Raw genomic sequence first — 20,109 nt, 5'->3', positions numbered from 1 at the left:
GACCCGTAACATATTCAGAGGCACCACTGTGACAAGTGCTTGGGATAGAGTCATGAGACAGACCTCGTTTCTGCCGTCACAGAGACAGAAAGGGACATCTGGCCTTGCACTGTGATCAGCCGTAGGCTGCCTCTCCAGCTGGAGGAGCACCTGGAGCTAAGATCACAGTGAGTCTCCGCACACTGCCCTGAGGCCTAACCAGGCTGGTCATAAGCGGCTGTGTTGAGTAAATGTAGAAAGGGTTGCTCCTACTGCCATCTTCTGCAAACAGGGCCATGGCCACACACTGCCCTTGAGCCCTTTCCCTGTGCTGATACCTGACTGGCAGAGACCTCAATGAGAAGCAGGGAGGTAGGCAGATCACCTGAGGTCAGGAGATCGAGACGAGCCTGACCAACATGGCGAAACCCCGTCTCTACTAAAAATACAAAAATTAGCTGAGCGTGGTAGCGAGTGTCTGTAATCCCAGCTACTGAAGAGGCTGAAGCAGGAGAATTGCTTGAACCTAGGAGATAAAGGTTACAGCGAGCCAAGATCCTGCCATTGCATTCTAGCCTAGGTGACAGAGCAAGACCCTGTCTGGAAGGAAGGAAGGAAGGGCATAATCCCAACACTTTGGGAGGCCAAGGTGGGCGAATCACCTGAGATCAGGAGTTCGAGACCAGCTTGGCCAACATGGTGAAACCCTGTCTCTACTAAAAATACAAAAATTAGCCAGGTGTGGCGATGCAAGCCTGTAGTCCCAACTACTCGAGAGGCTGAGACAGGAGAATCCCTTGAACCCGGGAGGCAGAGGTTGCAAGTGAGCCGAGATTGCACCACTGTACGCCAGCCTGGGCGACAGAGGGAGACTGTCTCCAGAAAAAAAAAAAAAAGGAAAGAAAGAGAAAGAAGCAAGGTATAGGCCAGGTGTGGTGGCTCACACCTGTAATCCCAGCACTTTGGGAGGCCGAGGCGGGTGGATCATGAGGTCAGGAGATCGAGACCATCATGGCTAACAAGGTGAAACCCCGTCTCTACTAAAAATACAAAAAATTAGCCGGGCGCGGTGGCGGGCGCCTGTAGTCCCAGCTACTCGGGAGGCTGAGGCAGGAGAATGGCGTGAACCTGGGAAGCGGAGCTTGCAGTGAGCCGAGATTGCGCCACTGCAGTCCGCAGTCCGGCCTGGGCGACAGAGCGAGACTCCGTCTCAAAAAAAAAAAAAAAGAACAGCCTAGAAACATAGCAAGACTCCATCTCCACACACACAAAAATAATTTTTTTAATTCGCTGGGCATGGTGGCACATGCCTATAGTACCCACTACTCAGGAGGATGAGGCAGGGGGATCATAGCTTGAGCCCAGGAGTTGGAAGCTACAGTGAACTATGATCATGCCACTGCACTCCAGGGCAACAGAGGGGGACTCTGAAGCAGGGTATATAATTATATAATATTTACAGACACAGGGTCAGTCCCAGCTCCACCCTTTCCCAACTGTCCTTGCTGCTAAAGGGACACTAGGGGAAATGGCCCATCTGGATGGCCAGGGTGTGGTAACTGGCAACAATCACTTTGGAGAAGCATTTGATAAAACCGTGTGTTGGGATACGAATGTGTCCCCCAAAGTTCTTGGGTTGGAAATTTAACCTGCAGTGCTACAGATTTTAGAAGTGAGACATTTAAGAGATAATTACGTCACCAGGGCTCTGCTCTCAGAAATGCACTAATGCCATGACCATGGAAGTGAGTGAGTTTTCACGGGAATGGATTCCTTATAAAGAATGAGTTCACCCCTCTGTCTCAGATGAGATGCCTTCCGCTATGTTACAAGGAAGCCGGAAGGCCCTCACCAAATACCAGCCCCACCATCTGGGACTTTTCAACCTTCAGATTTGTGAGCCCATAGATTTCTCTTTTTTTTTTTTTTTTTTTTTTTGAGAGGGAGTCTCGCTCTGTCTCCCACAGAATCTCACTCTGTCTCGCAAGCTGGAGTGCAGTGGCACAATCTCAGTTCACTGCATCCTCTGCATCCTGGGTTCAAGCGATTCTCCTGCCTCAGCTTCTCTAGTAGCTGGGATTACAAGCATGCCCCAACATGCCGGGCTAATTTTTTGTAGAAATGGGGTTTCACCATGTTGGCCAGGCTGGTCTTGAACTACTGATCTCAAGTGATCCACCTGCCTTGGCCTCTCAAAAGGCTGGGATTACAGGTGTGAGCCAGCGCGCCCAGACAGATTTCTGTTCATTACACGTTTCCTAGTCTGTGCAATTCCGTTACAGCAAGACAAAACAGACTAAGACATGGTGTCAAGATGAGAATGCACATACCTTGTGGCAGCAATAGCTTTTGTGGGCGTCCCCCTTAGAGGAACACGGGTGCATACAAGTATCCAAGTACTGGCAATGCACAAAACCATCTAAGTATCCAACAGCAGTTGGTAGGGTAAATAGTCCCATGTGGTGGCCAGGCCAGGTGGCTCACACCTGTAATCCCAAAATTTTGGGAGCCCGAGGTCAGGAGTTTGAGACCAGCCTGGCCAACATAGTGAAACCCCATCTCTACTAAAAATACAAAAATTAGCCAGGCGTGGTGGCATGCGCCTGTAGTCCCAGCTACTCAGGAGGCTGAGGCAGGAGAATCGCTTGAACCCGGCAGGTGGAGGTTGTAGTGAGCAGAGATTGTGCTACTGCACTCCAGCCTGGGCTACAGAGTGAGACTCCGTCTCAAAAAAAACAAAAAAACAAAAACAAAAAAAACAATAAAAATACGGCCGGGCAGCCAGGCGCAGTGGCTCATGCCTGTAATCCCAGTACTTTGGGAGGCCAAGGCAGGCGGATCATGAGGTCAGCAGTTCGAGACCAGCCTGACCAACACGGTGAAACCCCAGCTCTACTAAAAATACAAAAATTAACCAGGCATAGTGGCAGGCACCTGTAATCCCAGCTACTTGGGAGGCTTAGGGAGGAGAATCGCTGGAACCCAGGAGGTGGAGGTTGCAGTGAGCCGAGACCGTGCCATAGCACTCCAGCCTGGGTGACAGAGCGAGACTCCATCTCAAAAAAAAAAAAAAAAAAAAGAAGAAAGATCGGCCGGGCGCAGTGGCTCACGCCTATAATACCAGCACTTTGGGAGACCGAGGCACGTGGAACACTTGAGGTCAGGAGTTCAAGACCAGCCTGGCCAACATGGTGAAACCCCATCTCTATTAAAAATACAAAAATTACCCAGGAGTGGTGGCAAGCACCTGTAATCCTAGCTACTCGGGAGGCTGAGGCAGGAGAATCGCTTGAACCCAGGAGGCAGAGTCTGCAGTGAGCCGAGATCATGCCATTGCACTCCAGCCTGGGCAACAAGAGCAAAATTCCGTCTTAAAAATAAATAGGGCCAGGTGTGGTGGCTCCCGCCTGTAATTCCAGCACTTTGGGAGGCCGAGGCAGGCGGATCACGAGGTCAGGAGATTGAGACCGTCCTGGCTAACATGGTGAAACCCCATCTCCATTAAAAATACAAAAAATTACCTGGGGGTGGTGGCGGGCACCTGTAGTCCCAGCTACTTGGGAGGCTGAGGCAAGAGAATGGTGTGAACCCGGGAGGTGGAGCTTACAGTGAGCTGAGATTGTGCCACTGCGCTCCAGCCTGGGCGACAGAGTGAGACGCAAAAAGAATAAAAAATAAATAAATAATAAATAAATACAACAATTGGCCGGTGTGGTAGTGGGCACCTGTAACCCCAGCTACTTGGGAGGGTAAAGCAGGAGAATTGCTTGAACCCGGGAGGTGGAGGTTGCAGTGAGCCAAGACCACGCCACTGCACTCCAGCTTGGGCAACAGAGCAAGACTCTGTCTCAAAAAAAAAACAAAAAACTTTTTTTGTCCGATGTAATCACACAACAGAATAGTATACATCCATTAGCGGGAATGAACTAGAGCTTTACCAACATGAAGAAAAATGACAGATAATGATGAATAAAAACTGCAAGTGGCAAAATAGTGGGTACATGGGTATTTATTAGAACATTTAGCTGAGTGAGGTGGCTCCCGCCTGTAATCCCAGCACTTTGGGAGGCTGAGGTGGGTGGATCACTTAAGGTCAGGAGTTCAAGACCAGCCTGATCAACATGGTGAAACTTTGTCTCTACCAAAAATATAAAAATTCGCTGGCATGGTGGTGGGAGCCTATAACCTCAGCTACTTGCTGGGAGGTGGAGGTTGCAGTGAGCCGAGATCGCGCTACTGCACTCTAGCCTGGGTGACAGAGTGAGACTCTGTCTCAAAAAAAAAAAAAAAAAAAAAAATTAATCAAATACTTCAAGAGAAGGCAGGAAAGGAGAAACAGGGGAACAAAAGTGGGACAAATGGAAAGCAAATGGTAGACCTAAATTCAACCATGTTAATAATTCTAAGACATATTATGAGAAAGGGGAGCCAGTTATGGGAAGGTGTCTCATCCTCTACCAAAGGGATGGCATGCACTGCAGTGAAGGCGAAGCAGGGCGTTGGTCTGGGTGTGAACACTCTCTGCATGGCCTTTGCCCTGCTCACAAGTATTTAAGCATGGAGATGGAGGTTCTTTTTTTTTTTTTTGAGACAGAATTTCGCTCTTTTTGCCCAGGATGGAGTGCAGTGGCACGATCTTGGCTCACCACAACCTCCGCCTCCTGGGTTCAAGTGATTCTCCTGCCTCAACCTCCCAAGTAGCTGGGATTACAGGCATGTGCCACCTTGCCCGGCTAATTTTGTATTTTTAGTAGAGACAGGGCTTCTCCATGTTAGTCAAGATGGGGCTTCTCCATGTTAGTCAGGCTAGTCTCAAACTCCCAACTTCAGGCCTTGGCCTCCCAAAATGCTGGGATTACAGGCGTGAGCCACCACACCCGGCCTCCTTTTTTTTTTTTTTTTTTTTTGAGACTGAGTCTCGCTGTGTCGCCCAGGCTGGAGTGCAGTGACATGATTCTCACTGCAACTTCTGCCTCCTGGGTTCAAGCAGTTCTCCTGCCTCAGCCTCTTGAGCAGCTGGGATTACAGACATGAGCCACTGCACCCGGCCACCTAGATGTTTTTTCTAAACATGATATTCTTCATGTTTATCCCGTTTGGGATTCACTGAGCCTTTAACATCTGTAAATTTCTGGCCGGTAGTGTTGGCTCACACCTGTAATCCCAGCACTTTGGGAAGCTGAGGCGGGTGGATCACTTGAGGTCAGGAGTTTGTGACCAGCCTGGTCAACATGGTGAAACCCTGTCTCTACTAAAAATACAAAAATTAGTTGGGTGTGGTGGTGGGCACCTGTAATCCCAGCTACTCAGGAGGCTGAGGCAGGAGAATTGCTTGAACCCAGGAGGTGGAAGTTGTAGTGAGCCAAGATCACATCATCGCACTCCAGCCTGGGTGACAAGAGTGAAACTCTGTCTCAAAATAAATAAATAAAAAGTAAAAAAATTACAAATTAAAAAATTAGCTGGGCGGCGTGCACCTATAATCCCAGCTACTTGGGAGGCTGAGGTTGGAGAATTGCTTGATCCCGGGAGGCGGAGGTTGCAGTCAGCCGAGATTGTGCCACTGCACTACAGCCTGGGCGATAGAGTGAGACTTCATCTCAAAAAAAAAAAAAAGAAAGAAAAGAAAGAAAAGTACCAGCCAGACGTAGTAGCTTACATCTGTAATCACAGTACTTTAGGAGGCTGAGGTAAGAGGATCACTTGAGGCCAGAGTTTAAGCCTGGGCAACATAGTGAGACCTCATGGCTACTAAAAATATGTATATATATTTTTTGAGATGGAGTTTCGCTCTTGTTGCCTAGGCTGGAGTGCAACTGCTCGATCTCGGCTCACTGCAACCTCCACCTCCTGGGTTCAAGCGATTTTCCTGCCTCGGCCTTCAGAGTAGCTGGGATTACAGGCATGTGGACAACACCTAGCTAATTTTTGTATTTTCAGTAGAGACGGGGTTTCACCATGTTGGTCAGGCTGGTCTGGTGACTCCTGACCTCAGGTGATCCAGCCACCTCGACCTCCCAAAATGTTGGGATTACAGGCATGAGCCACCGCACCCAGCCAATAATTTTAAAAACATTAGCCAGGGGGAACATGGTGAAACTCCGTCTCTACTAAAAATACAAAAAAAAAAAAAGGCCGGGCGTGGTAGCTCACGCCTGTAATCCCAGCACTTTGAGAGGCCGAGGCGGGTGGATCACGAGGTCAGGAGATCGAGACCATCCTGGCTAACATGCTGAAACCCTGTCTCTACTAAAAATACAAAGAATTAGCCGGGCGTGGTGGCGGGCGCCTGTAGTCCCAGCTACTCGGGAGGCTGCGGCAAGAGAATGGCGTGAACCCGGGAGGTGGAGCTTGCAGTGAGCTGAGAGCATGCCACTACACTCCAGCCTAGGCAAATGAGCAACACTCCAACTCAAAAAAAAAAAAGAAAAAGAAAAGAAAAAAAAAATTAGCCGGGGGAAAAAATTAGCCAGGTATGGTGGTGCCTGCCTGTGGTCCCAGCTACTCAAGAGACTGAGGTGGGAGACTCACTTTGAGCCCTCAAAATCAAGATTTCAGTGAGCCATGATTGCACACCACTGCACTCCAGCCTGGGTGGCAGAGTAAGACCCTATCACTAAAAAAACAAAACAGGCTGGGCACGGTGGCTCATGCCTGTAATCCCAGCACTTTGGGAGGCTGAGGTGGGCAGATCATCAGGTTGGGAGTTCGAGACCAGACTGGCCAATATGGTGAAACCCCGTCTCTACTAAAAATAGAAAAATTAGCCAGGCGTGGTGGTGGGCGCCTGTGGTCCCAGCTGCTCAGGAGGCTGAGGCAGAGGAGTTGCTTGAATCCGGGAGGCAGAGGTTGCAGTGAGCCGAGATCACGCCACTGCACTCCAGCCTGTGCAACAGAGCATGACTCTGTCTCAAAAAACAAAACAAAATAAAAAACAAGAACCAACTCCTAAAATGCATTTTTATACTTGCTAACCCTGGAACTTGGCTTTGGGAAGTCTTTCCTAAGTGTGCACAATGTCACACAGCAGCAGACTGATTCAATAGTTAATGGTTCACCTGTTTTGGTTATGGAATTTGATGCATGAAATACTGACAAGGATCTCCAAGACATATTGAGAAAAAAGCACATTGGAGAAAAAGTTATTTATGAATATGTAAAATAGCAGCTAACATTGAGCAATATTGATTCAAAGACTGATTTTTTAATCCCCACATATCTGAGGAATGTGCCACTATTCTACCCATTTTAGGGATGGGGTAACAGAAAGTAGTGTAGCGAGGGTCACATGGCTGAGTGGTAGAGTCTAGGTTTGAACATGGCAGTCTGGAAGGATTCACTCTCAACAGTTAACAGGGGTGACCTCCGGGGAGTGGATATGAAAGTGGATAAAGCTAGGCTGGGCGCTGTGGCTTACACCTATAATCCCAGCATTTTGGGTGCTGAGGCAGGTGGATTACTTCAGGTCAGGAGTTCGAGAGCAGCCAGGCCAACATGGTGAAACCCTGTCTACTAAAAGTACAAAAATTAGCTGGGCATGGTGGCCGGGGCCTGTAATCCCAGCTACTTGGGAGGCTGAGGCAGGAGAATTGCTTGAAACCAGGAGGTGGAGGTTGCAGTGAGCCGAGATCACACCACTGCACTCTAGCCTGGGTGACAGAGCAAGACTCCGTCTATTAAAAAAAAAAAAAAGAAAAAAGAAAAAGAAAAAAAGAAAGTGGATACAGCTAACATGTCCAAAAAGCATCTCATATTTCTCTCCAAAATGCAGTTTAGCTGTGAAGTCAGCTGCTCTTATTATGTGGCCAACATTGTGCTGACAGGCTGTGCCCTGCAGCGGAGAGGAATCTTCTCTTTATGCTTGTATATTGCTTGAATATCGTACAAGCTTAGGAACCAAATCCACCCACCCTTTTGGACCTAGTTGAAGGCCCTCTTTTATGAAGGCCGACATGATGTTTTCCAGTGACTACTGGGTCTCAGGGACTTGTGAAGGGAAGCCCAAAATCTTGTTCTCACTGAGCGAACAAGCCGTGCCACTACATGAATCTCTACTGAGTGCCCCGCACCGCAGCTTTCCCAGTCAGCGCCATTTCCATCTCTCCCTTGCTTGTGAGGTGAGCCTGTTTCCTTATCTCCAGTATGGGTAGGAGAACAGCATCTATCCCCATGGGGTTGCTGTGGGGATTCCAACTCAAAGAACAAGGATTCTGAAAAGTACCAGGCAGGTTGCATGGGTATAATGACCATTGGTTGTTATCATTAAACTTACCACCTGCAACCTAAGCCATCTCTTCCACACCTGTAATGAGCTAATAGAACATACGTCAAGATAACTTTTTTTTTTTTTTTTGAGATGGAGTCTCGCTCTGTTGCCCAGGCTGGACTGCAGTGGCACGATCTCGGCTCACTGCAACCTCCGCCTCCCAGGTGCAAGCGATTCTCCTGCCTCAGCCTCCTGAGTAGCTGGATTACAGCCACGCGCCACCATGCCCAGCTAGTTTTTGTATTTTTTTTTTTTAGTAGAGACGGGGTTTCACTATGTTGGTCAGGCTGGTGTTGAACTCCTGACCTCGCGATCCGCCCGCCTCGGCCTCCCAAAGTGCTGGGATTTTTTTTTCGAGACAGTGTCTCACTCTTTCACCCAGGCTTCAGTGCAGTGGTGAAATCCAGGTCATTTCAGCCTCAAACTCCTGGGCTCAAGTGATCCTCCTGCCCCAGTCTCCCAAGCAGCTGTGACCACAGGCACAAGCCACTATGCTCAGCTATTTCTTTTTTTGTGGAGATGGGGTCTTGCTTTGTTTCCCAAGTTGGTCACGAACTCTTGGGCTGAAGTGCTTCTCCCGCCACAGCCTCCCACCATGCCTGACTGACTGCAGATTTTGAGATGGAGTGTCACACTGTTACCCGGGCTGGAGTGCAGTGGTGCGACCTCAGCTCATTGCGACCTCCGCCTCCCAGGTTCAAGTGATTCTCCTGTCTCAGCCTCCCCCAGTAGCTGAGATTACAGGCACCCGCCACCATGCCCGGCTAATTTTTGTAATTTTAGTAGACAGGGTTTCACCACGTTGGCCTGGCTGCTCTCAAACTCCTGACCTCGTGATTCGTCCGCCTCAGCCTCCCAAAATGTTGGGATTACAGGCGTGAGCCACCACGCCTGGCCTTTTTTTCTTCATTTTTATGATTAATACAAACATCATGTGGCAGTTTATGAAATTTGTAGAAACTAGACATTTCTTGCCTGGGGCTGGCAGCTTTCCCCTCGATTCCTGAGGGGTCCTCTGGGTGACTTAATCTCTGCCGTTAGAGGTACAGGGTGGAAAAGTTTGAAGCTTCCGGGACGATTCTACAATTTTGTTTTTATCAATCCAGACCCACCTGCTCCCCCTTGTGACCAAGGCTGCACATTACAGTCAAGAGTATAATTAGCTCAGAATTTAAAGACCACGTGAAATTCATGCAGCAATGTAACTGCTGACCCTGACGCCACTGACTTGCACTAAAGGTGGCGAGACACGGATCCTTTCCGAAATGCAGCCCCTGTCTCACCTCCGGCGGGAGCAGGTGATGCAGGGTTGAGGAACAGAGGCCCTTCTGTAGTGAAGACCACTTTTCTCCCCGACTAACTGCTGCAGGATCAGAATAGGAAAGAGACTGATTTATTGAAACATCACACAATTTACATAAAGAAGAAACACAAGCAAGAGTGGGGTGAACTGGAACGCACTTTGGCTGCATCAAGGCAAACCTGGTCTTCCAATAAAAGCTCTGACCCGTAGCGGCTGTGGCACTTGGGGCATATGAAGCATCACTTTTGACTTCCCTTTATTATTATAATTCTTGCCACTGAAAATAGCCACTATTTAGCTGAATTATCCATTAGACAACTGGAGCCAGAAGCTTCTACACATTCTAGAATGTGAACAATTTAACTCTTGCTGCATCACCCAGAAAAAATGGTGGCAGGAATGGTGAGGGAGAGGAGGAATCTCTTGAGTTAGAGCCTCAGGTCTGAAAAGGCAACTGGTAGGATCATCCCATTCCCTCTCAGAAGCTTCTGAAGTGGAAGAAAAACAAGCAAATCCTAAAGCAAGTAACTTTATTATCATTCCTTTAAAAAGAACCAAGGAAAATTCACAACATATGTGAAACACAAACAGCTGTGGTTTAGGAGGTAAACAAAGGACCAACATAGCCCTGAAATGCAACAGCCTCTGAGTGACTTGAGCCGCATGTGACTGGGGTTCTGTTAAAAGGGCAGGCTCCTCCCTCCTAGCCCTGAAGCCCCAGGAACCTGCCTTGAAAGACAAGCTCTCTAATACTCAACTTGCAGGGTCTCGCCCTAACATCCAAGACTTGGTAGCATCTCCTTTCTCCCAAAACCCAGCTGGAACTCAACTAATCCTAAACGAAAACTCAAGAACAGCACACCAGATGCCACCTGTTGTTTGTCAGGGTCTCAAACTCCAGAGGAAATGCATTTGCCTGTCATGGTTTTCCTCTCTAAGGGCACCTGTCTGAACTTGGAGCTGTGCTTCCACTGGTGCCTCATGGGGCCTGGGCCTACTCTCCACCTGAATTCACACTTTTCTCTATAAGGTATCAGGTGGGGAATAAGTCCAAGAAGGTGACAAGAGGCTCCCGAGCAACAGAGCTTGCTCATTCCTGGCAGGCATCTCCCACAATGCCCCAGAGGGCTGGCGAGGCCGGGACAGCATAAGGACAGAGAAAGGGCAGAGGGGTGCTTGGAAGTGCTCATCACTCAGGGGAGCTGGCAGGCCCGGGATGACAGGCAGCCTGAACAGTGCTGGAACAAAGACAGCCACCCTGCGCCCCTTGTCGAGCAGCTGCTGGTGATGGGAAGCAGCACGTCGGCACCACCTCCTTCGTTGCAGGAAATGTTTTGTATCGGGCCAATGACTTCAGTTTTCCTTGCCTGGAGATGCCTTCATGAAGGAAGGGGACAGGGAATACAGGTGGGCATGCTGCAGTTGGCATCTCTGGGGCTGCCAAATCTTGAGTTCACTTGGGGCCAAGGCACTCCACAATCCCATTCCCCTTCATGCCATCGAAGAAGAAGAAGTTGTTGTGAGGAGGGTCCCGCTGAGACAGGGCCTGGGGAGAAAAATGAAAAGAGGGTTTAGCTCAAGTGCTTTAAGAGGAATAGAGGGAAAAAAAAATTCTAAAAGCAGTCTAGGGCAGTGGTTCTTAACTGGGGTCGATTTTGCTCCCAAAGGGCTATTTGGCAATGTCTGGAGACAATTTTGATTGTCCTATCTCCTTGCTCTGTCCCTTACAAGCTGTGTGTCCATGGGGAGATTATTTAACCTCTCCAAACATTACCTTATTTTCCTAACATGAGATTAAGAAATGTATTTGCCTGGGTTAAACTATGTATCTCAAAAATGTAAAACAGGCCAGGGCCAGGCACATTCACACCTGTAATCCCAGCACTTTGGGAGGCTGAGGTGGGAGAATCACTTGAGCCCAGGAATTCAAGACCAGTCTGTGCAACATGGTGAGATCCCGTCTATATGAAAACTAAAATAGGTGGGGCGCAGTGGCTCACGCCTGTAATCCCAGCACTCTGGGAGGCTGAAGTGGGCGGATCACCTGAGGTTGGGAGTTGGAGACCAGCCTGGCCAACACGGTGAAACCTGTCTCTACTAAAAATACAGAAATTAGCCGAGTATGGTGGCATGCTACTCGGGAGGCTGAGGCAGGAGAATTGCTTGAACCCAGGAGGCAGAGGTTGCAGTAAACTGAGATTGCGCCACCGCACTCCAGCCTGGGCGACACAGTGAGACTCTGTCTCAAAAAAAAAGAGAAAAAGAAAAATGACATAAATTAGCCAGGTATGGTGATGCATGCCCAAGGTGCCAGCTACTCGGGAGGCTGAGGTGGGAGGATCGCTTGAGCCTGGGACATTGAGGCTGCAGTGAGCTGTAATAGTGCCACTATACTCCAGCCTGGGGAACAGAGTGAGACCCTGTCTCAAAACAAAAAACAAACAAACAAAAAAACACCTTAAAACTAAAACAATGACTAACACTGTGTTGCACCACCATTGGGCAAACAGCAGAAATAATTATTCATGACTATTCAACTGAGAAAGGTGGCAGTTCTTAGGCTGTGGCCTTTATCACCTAAGGGGACACATTTAATCAAGGAACACACTGATGCAGAAGCGGGGGCTATTCCATGAGGACATAGAGTCGCTAGGCTTCCACAGGGGGTCAGGGCTGGGATCCAGAGGGCCTGGACAATGCTATTTAGCAATGGCAATGGTGATTATCTTGTGGGGTTACCAGACAGAGCACTTTAAAATACAAGAACAGGGCTGGGCTTAATGTCTCACATCTGTAATCCCAGCACTTAGGGAGGCCGAGGCGGGAGAATCACTTGAGCCCAGGAGTTCGAGACCAGCCTGGGCAACATGGCAAAACCCCATATCTACAAAAAATAAAAAAAATTAGTTGGATGTGGTGGCGTGTGCTTATAGTCTCAGTGCCTCAGGAAGCTGAGGTGGGAGGATCACTTAAGTCCAGGGAAATCAAGTCTGCAGTGAGCTGTGATGGCACCACTGTACTCCAGCCTGGGCAACAGAGAGCGAGAGAGAGGGGTGGGAAGGAGAGTGAGCACGTGGCCCTGTCTTTTGAGGCAGGGTCAGCCCCCGAAACAACATACTGAGTCTTGTATGCACATACATCTTTCTGAGAAAGGGTTCACAATTGTCACAAATTTTCAAACAGGTCCTTAACCCAGAAAGGATTGAAATTTCACCACAAGCTACCATTTAAAGAGGAAGACATCACCTAGGCAAGCTGCCAGGGCAGGGTTTAACGGTTCCCAGGAGCACCGTCCCATCATTCATGAGGAAGGTGGGGCTACACATCCTGAACTGCTCCTCTTCAAACTCAGCACCAAACCCTTTTCCTCATCCATAAAACAGGGACAATCACATCTACCATATACAAATAGTGTTAGTCAGCCATTTTTCCAGGGAAATTTTATTTATTTGTAAATGTTTTTAATTTTTTGAGATAGGATCTTGTTCTGCTACCCAGGTGGGAGGCACATTCTCGGCTTACTGCAACCTCCGTCTCCCCAGCTCCAGATATCCTCCCATACCCTCTTGAGTAGCTGGGACTTTTGTAGAGATGAGGTCTCCTCATGTTGCCCAAGCTAGTCTTGAACTTCTAGGTTCAAGCAATCCTCCCAAAGTGCTGGAATTACAGGCATGAGCTACTGCACCCAGTCAAGGGAACATTTATTAAGCATCTACTCTATGCCAGGTATTCAGCTAGACATTAAGGATTCTGAGGTCTCTGTCCACATGGAGCTTGGATCAGAAAGAAGTTTGCTTCTCTGGGCAAATAGGCAAATAAAAAGCACCTGCCTGCTAGAGTTTTGGTGAGAATGAAATGTGACTAGGCTTGTAAAGTGCCGAGCACGTAGTAAATTCTTAGTAAGTAGGAGCTGCTATTAATAATAATAGGGCCAGGAGTCCTTTACCAATACTGGGGATGCCACCAACCTAGCCAGGTGGAAGGGTCCAACAGTACACAGGTGGAACTCTTAGACCCTCAAACCCAAGATACAGGAGATGGTATGTGTTTTACCATGAACCTGGGATGGCTGCTGCTTTCACTATCACCTCTCTTACCATAGACAGGGAGACCTGCCGTGGACGGTGGGGATGGAGAGAAAGGAAAACTGCTTTAAACCCAAGGAAGTAGACATGGATATAAAATAGGGTATCTAGAAGGACGTAAGAAAGGAAAGACGCAAAAGATGATTCCAAAGGAGCAGACTTGCGCTTGACCCATCTCCTAGTGTAAGCTTTCCATAGGCGCTCAGACAGTGCCTCAGGAGAGAAAGGTGAGTCTGAGGCCCTTGGACTGCAGGCCCCGCCTGCCAGCTGGCTGAAGGCTGACCAGTAATAAGTATGAAGGAGTACTGGGGATGAGAGCAGGGCATGGGGTGACATGGGGCAAAAGGTAAAGTGCTTCCCAAGCAAGATGGGGTAGGAGGAGATTCCAAACACACCCAGCAACGAAGAATGCAGAGTACTCTGGCTATCTGGGATAAACAGAAACAAGATGCTGGGCACCAGCTGTCTCCAGCAGGCAGGAAGGAGGGGGCTGTGTGAGGATGGGGATGTGAGAAACTACCACCAACAATGGGGTCAAGGCTACCTGCCCCAACCTCCAGTCTCCATCCCACATGAAAAATTTAGGGGGAGCCCCTCAATGGGATGTGCAGAAGTAAGGCTGACAATGCAAGGGCAGCGGCCCTGGGGTCCATGCAGTCTCTACATGATGGTGCCATTGAAGGCAACACCTGATGCATGACTGCCCCGTGGTGAAGAGGACAGGCTCAGAAACCAGACTGCCTGGGCCCACATCCTGGCACCACACTCACTAGCCTGGGCAAGCATCTTCTTTCCTGCACCTTAGTCTCTCTTTTATAAACCAGGGATCACAGGAGTTCCTACCTCATAGGGCCGGTGGGAGATGAAATGAGTATCCACGTAAAAAACACTGTCTTTGTGTGGCAGACAGTGGGCTTTCAGTAAGTCTTGTCTATTATTGGTGGTGTCGTCATTTTAGGCTACAAAAATATGTACATTCCCATTCCCCACTTAGAACATTCCCATTGCTGCACTCTTTCCTGCAGTTTGTCTACAGGGAGCCTCAGAATCCTGCTCGAACAGTCCTCTGGGTGGCCATTACCCTCTTCTCAGATTGGGCATATAAACTGTAATTTTCACATCACTCTGGGCTATGTATAAAATGTGAGCAAGGAAAGAGGTATGGCCATTGCACACTTTTCTTCCCCCTCCAAATATCTCCTCGGTGCCCATTACATAGAAGAAAGTTAGATTTGATCAAAGGAAGAATTTAGACCAGAGAGAAGGATCAGAAAAAATAGACAAAAAAAAAAAAAAAAAGTAGCCTTAGGAAAACGGTGTGACTAACAAATTGAGCCAAACGCCTCCAGAATGTACAGACCCCAAGACAAAGTGTTAAGGGCTGGCCTCCAAACTGTCCTCCCAAGCTCAAACTTGACATGTACATGGACATGGCCAATCATTTAACCAGGCACGACTCTGCTCCATAAGAAAGAAGGAAAAAGCCTCACCGGAGTCCACGAAGGCAGCCAAGAACCTGCAAAAGGCAAATTTAACATCTTCGGGCAAATAGCAAAGTCTGCAAAGAATGTACAATATATTTGGGGGTATGGTATAGTTTTAGCAACCCAAATGTTCCAGAAGACCCTCAAAAGGCTGTGCTAGTTACTGGTTATGTGACCCTGTATAAGATGCTTCCCTTCTGAGAGACACACTAACACCTACCTAACAGGGTCACGGGTCATCCTGTACAGAGCCTTGAGGGGCTCCTGGTGTGTTCATGGGGACACAGAAACTGATTTCTCTACAAATACCTACAGTGTGTGGTTAAAAAGACGGGGGCTTGGCCGGGTGCGGTGGCTCACACCTATAATCCCAGCACTTTGGGAGGCTGAGGTGGGAGGATCACAAGGTCAGGAGTTCGAGACCAGCCTGGCCAATATGGTGAACTACTAAAAATACAAAAATTAGCCTGGTGTGGTGGTGGGAACCTGTACTCTCAGCTGCTCGGGAGGCTGAGGCAGGAGAATCGCTTGAACCCAGGAGGCGGAGGTTGCAGTGAGTCAAGATCATGCCACTGCACTCCAGTCTGAGAGACAAAGTGAGATTCTGTCTCAAAAAAAAAAAAAAAGGGGGGGGGTGCGGCTGGGTACAGTGGCTCATGCCTGTAATCCCAGCACTTTGAGAGGCTGAGGTGGGCAGATCACGATGTCAGGAGATCCAGACCATCCTGGCTAACACAGTGAAACCCTGTCTCTACTAAAAATACAAAAAAATTAGCTGGGCGTGGTGGCAGGCGCCTGTAGTCCCAGCTACTTGGAAGGCTAAGGTAGGAGAATGGCGTGAACCCGGGAGGTGGAGCTTGCAGTGATCTGAGATCGTGCTACTGCACTCCAGCCTGGGGGACAGAGCGAGACTCCATCTCAAAAAAAAAAAAAAAAAAAAAAAAAAAAGGGAGGGCTTTGATGTCATGGTGATGAATAGAGATAAACTGTACAGAGGTTAAGAGCACAGGTTCTGGAGTCCCTTTCATGGGCCCAAGTGTCTTCCTCTTAAGTGGGGATCATGATAGTACTCACTTATAGAGCTATGAGAAGCAGAATCCCTGACCAATACAACAGGCACTGGATAACTAATACAGTTAGGGGAGAGCAGATCACACCTTCGAGGCACTATGGCCAACTGTGAGCTAAGCACAGAGCAGGCACTCCAAGGTCATTTGCTGAATGGCACCTGGATGGGCCAGAGAAAATGGGATGAGGTGGAAATGGGGAGGGCATGAAACAAAGATGAATGGGGTGAGAGAAAGCAGGCAGCTGTCTAAGACAGTTTCCATTCTCTCTGTCAGCACATATACAAAGTCATGGTTAACAATTTTCTGCTCCACAGTGATGTTTTACCTTCACAATTTCCTGTGCCAAAATCCCTCCAACCACCGCACACACTGGGGCCATCTCGGAGAAGCAGTACCTAAAAGAGAGGAAGACAAGGAAAATGGAGCACTGGGAACAGAACTGTGACCATGACATCTGGAGAAATTCAGTAGTAGGCTCTCCTGAATAAAAACAACTTCTAGCAGGAGGGCCCGATTCAGATAGCAGTGTTAATGCTGGCATCTAGGCGTGAAAATGAAATCTGAGCAAGGGATTCATAAGTGGTTGGAAAAGACCTTTGAACTTTGGCAAGCAGAAATTCTTTCACAATACTTTTATTTTTACCTTTATAAGTTAAAGGAAAGACTATATCTGTGCTTCCTATATCTGTCCTAGAGATATCAGATGTTTCAGTGCCCTGGTCACATTCTCGCAATTCTCTTCTTACCCATAATGGCCAGTGGGTTCTATATGCTATTCCCAGACAAATGTCAGGGAGCAGGCCTGTGTTAACATGTAGGAAGCAAGGGAAATTTGAGGCGTGAAATTAAAGTATGAGGGCAGAAAAAGTCTTCACAACCCACATAGAAACCAGCCCTTCTGGGCCAGGATGGGGCATCTAGAGGACAAATTTTAGATGACACAGTCACCTGCCCCTCCAAGTTACCCATCCTAGTAAGCAAATCACTTAATTCCACCACTTCCCCAAAGGAAGTGTGCTCTGCCAGCTCCTACTCCTGAACACAATGCTGTGTGCTCACCAAGCAAACTGGAACACAGACAAGTGAAAGGGAAAGCCTCCCTACAGAACTACCTCCAATCTCCCCAGTGTGGTGCACATCCTTCTAGACTTTTTTTGAGACGGAGTCTCGCTCTGTCACCCAGGCTGGAGTGCAGTGGCGCGATCTTGGCTTACTGCAAGCTCCGCCTCCCGGATTCATGTCATTTTCCTGCCTCAGCCTCCTGAGTAGCTGAGACTACAGGCACCCGCCACCACGCCCGGCTACTCTGAATTTTTAGTAGAGACGGGGTTTCACCATGTTGGCCAGGATGGTCTCAATCTCTTGACCTCGTGATCCGCCCGCCTCGGCCTCCCAAAGCGCTGGGATTACAGGTGTGAGCCACTGCGCCCAGCCCCTTCTAGACATTTTTAAAAGTGCACAATCTAAACGGGTATAATTAGGGCGGGCTCAGTGGCTGATGCCTGTAATCCCAGCACTTTGGGAGGTCGAGGTGGGCGGATCACAAAGTCAAGAGATCGAGATCATCCTGGCCCACATGGTGAAACCCCGTTTCTACTAAAAATACAAAAATTAGCTTGGTGTGGTGGGGTGAGCCTGTAGTCCCAGCTACTCAGGAGGTTGAGGCAGGAGAATCGCTTGAACCTGGGAGGCATAGGTTGCAGTGAGCTGAGATCGCACAACTACACTCCAGCCTGGTGACAGGGCAAGACTGTCTCAAAAAATAAATAAATAAATAAATAGGTATAATTTTAAACCCAAATATTATCAACTATTACTCTTCTGTTCTATAACCTATTGAGGGACATTTAAGCTGTTCAACACTGTAATCATACATCTTGACAAAGACACAGGCGTCGAAATAATTCCTTAAGACAAATTTCTAAATATAGCAATGCTAGTTTTTCATATGTATTGCCAAAATGCCCTCCCAAAAGGCTGTATCCATTCCAATCCCAAGAGCTGTGTCCAAAGGCACCTCCGGCTCCTTACGCCCTGGCCAGGACCAGCACATTCCCATTTTGTTCATCCAGGGGTAACATCTTCCTGCTTATCAAGGTCCACTACAGAGCTCTAAAATACATGGAGAACTAGGGCTGGGTGCGGTGGCTCACATCTGTAATCCCAGCACTTTGGGAGGCCAAGGCGGGTGGATCATTTGAGGTCAGGAGTTCAAGACCAGCTTGACCTACATAGTGAAACCCCGTCTCTACTAAAATACAAAAGTTAGCCGGGTGTGGTGGCGGGCAGCTGTAATGCCAGATACTCGGGAGGCTGAGGTGGAAGAATTGCATGAACCCAGGAGGTGGAGGTTGCAGTGAGCCGAGATGGTGCCACTGCACTCCAGCCTGGGTGAGAGAGAGACTCCCAATAATAATAATTAAAAAAACTCCTCCCATTGCTGGTAGAATCTCATTTTGGCCGTATTGGAGGAATAGTTCAGTCTGGCCAATATGGTGAAACCCCGTCTCTACTAAAAATACAGAAATTAGCTGGGCGTGGTGGCACGTGCCTATAGTCCCAGCTACTCCAGAGGCTGAGGCAAAAGAATCACTTAAAGCTGGGAGGCAGAGGTTGCAATAAGCCGAGATCACGCCACTGCACTCCAGCCTGGGTGACACAGCAAGACTCTGATTCAAAAAAAAAAAAAAAAAAAAAAAAAAAAAGGAACCAGATAACAGGCCAGGTGCAGTGGCTCATGCCTGTAATCCCAGCACTTTCGGAGGCCAAGCTGGGTGGATCATGAGGTCAGGAGTTTGAGATCAGTCTGGCCAATATGGTGAAACCCCATCTCTACTAAAAATACAAAAATTAGCCGGGCGTGGTGGCACGCGCCTGTAGTCCCAGCTACTCAGGAGGTTGAGACAGAAGAATCACTTGAACCACAGAGCACAGAGGCGGAGGTTGCAGTGAGCCAAGATCGGGCCATTGCACTCTAGCTTGGGTGACAGAGTAAGACTCCATCTCAAAAAAAAATAAAAAAAATAAAAAAATAAAAAAAAATAGCTGGGCATGGTGGCGTATGCCCGTAATCCCAGCTACTCAGGAGGCTGAGGCAGGAGATTCACTTGAACCCGGGAGGTGGAGGTTGCAGTGAGCCGAGATCATGCCACTGCACTCTAGCCTAGGTGACAAAGTGAAACTTTGTCTCAAAAACAAACAAACAAACAAAAGAACCAGATAATAAAATATTTTCAGCTTTATGGGCCATATGGTCTTTGTTATAACTATTTAACCCTGCTGTGGCACAAAAGCTGCCACAGATAATATATAAATGAGTAAGTGTGCCAATAAAACTTTATTTACAAAAAGAGGTGGCAAGCCAGTTTGCCAAGGGCTATTCCAAATTAAAAGAGATACAAGTGGCTGACGCCTGTCTATCCCAGAAGTTTTGGAAAGCCAAGGCAGAAGGATGGCTTGAATCCAGGAGTCTGAGAACAGCCTGGGCAGCAGAGTGAGACCCCCGTCTCTACAACAAAAATAAATAAGTATTAATTATCATTTAACTCAGGCAGATGTGCTTTGTATACTCTCTTGTTATGCGGTTCATAACTTTAAAAAATAGGAAACAGCCTGGTGAACATAGTGAGACCCTGTCAATACAAAAAAAAAAAAAAAAAAAAAAAATTAGGCAGGCTTGGTAGTACACGCCTATAGTCCCAGCTACGCAAGAGGCCGAGATGAGAGTGTTGCCTGAGCCCAGGAGGTTGATGCTGCAGTGAGCTATGATGTGCCACTGCACTCTAGCCTAGGCAACAGAGAGAGACCCTATCTTAAAAAAAAAAAAAAAAAGAGGCTGGGCGTGGTGGCTCACACTTGTAATCCCAACACTTTGGGAGGCCGAGGCAGGTGGATCATGAGGTCAGGAGATCAAGACCATCCT

General features: G+C 48.2%; 1 protein-coding gene across 4 annotated transcripts in view, besides 3 other annotated features; it reads right to left on the bottom strand.

Annotated features, from left to right (window-relative positions):
* Positions 34 to 234: a silencer, noted in NCBI's record as "peak3532 fragment used in MPRA reporter construct". NCBI's record gives its function as "represses an SCP1 promoter by STARR-seq MPRAs in K562 erythroleukemia cells {active_cell/tissue: K562}" and the evidence as "EXISTENCE:reporter gene assay evidence [ECO:0000049][PMID:32103011]".
* Positions 9,227 to 9,521: an enhancer, noted in NCBI's record as "tiled region #12080; K562 Activating DNase matched - State 5:Enh, and HepG2 Activating DNase unmatched - State 25:Art". NCBI's record gives its function as "activates a minimal TATA promoter and a strong SV40 promoter by Sharpr-MPRA in K562 cells, with weak activation in HepG2 cells {active_cell/tissue: HepG2 | K562}" and the evidence as "EXISTENCE:reporter gene assay evidence [ECO:0000049][PMID:27701403]".
* The window catches only part of SAE1 (SUMO1 activating enzyme subunit 1), a 79,802-nt gene continuing 69,309 nt past the window's right edge, over positions 9,617 to 20,109 (bottom strand). For 3 of the 4 annotated variants that reach the window (NR_027280.2, NM_005500.3, NM_001145714.2), the window contains 2 exons: positions 16,513 to 16,582; positions 9,617 to 11,094 (listed from right to left, as the gene is read on the bottom strand). Coding sequence is in view for 3 of the 4 variants with exons in the window: in NM_005500.3 (NP_005491.1) it covers positions 11,002 to 11,094; positions 16,513 to 16,582 (163 nt within the window). In the remaining variant the exon portion in view is untranslated. The remainder of the gene's footprint in view (positions 11,095 to 16,512; positions 16,583 to 20,109) is intronic. The other variant, NM_001145713.2, reaches the window with a different exon arrangement.
* Positions 10,513 to 11,262: an enhancer, noted in NCBI's record as "NANOG-H3K27ac-H3K4me1 hESC enhancer chr19:47712248-47712997 (GRCh37/hg19 assembly coordinates)". NCBI's record gives its function as "activates a minimal SCP1, AML or CMV promoter by ChIP-STARR-seq in primed H9 embryonic stem cells {active_cell/tissue: H9 hESC(primed)}" and the evidence as "EXISTENCE:reporter gene assay evidence [ECO:0000049][PMID:30033119]".

This window comes from Homo sapiens, chromosome 19 (assembly GCF_000001405.40).
Source record: "Homo sapiens chromosome 19, GRCh38.p14 Primary Assembly".
NCBI lineage: Eukaryota > Metazoa > Chordata > Mammalia > Primates > Hominidae > Homo > Homo sapiens.
This window is presented reverse-complemented; position numbering and strand designations above follow the sequence as displayed.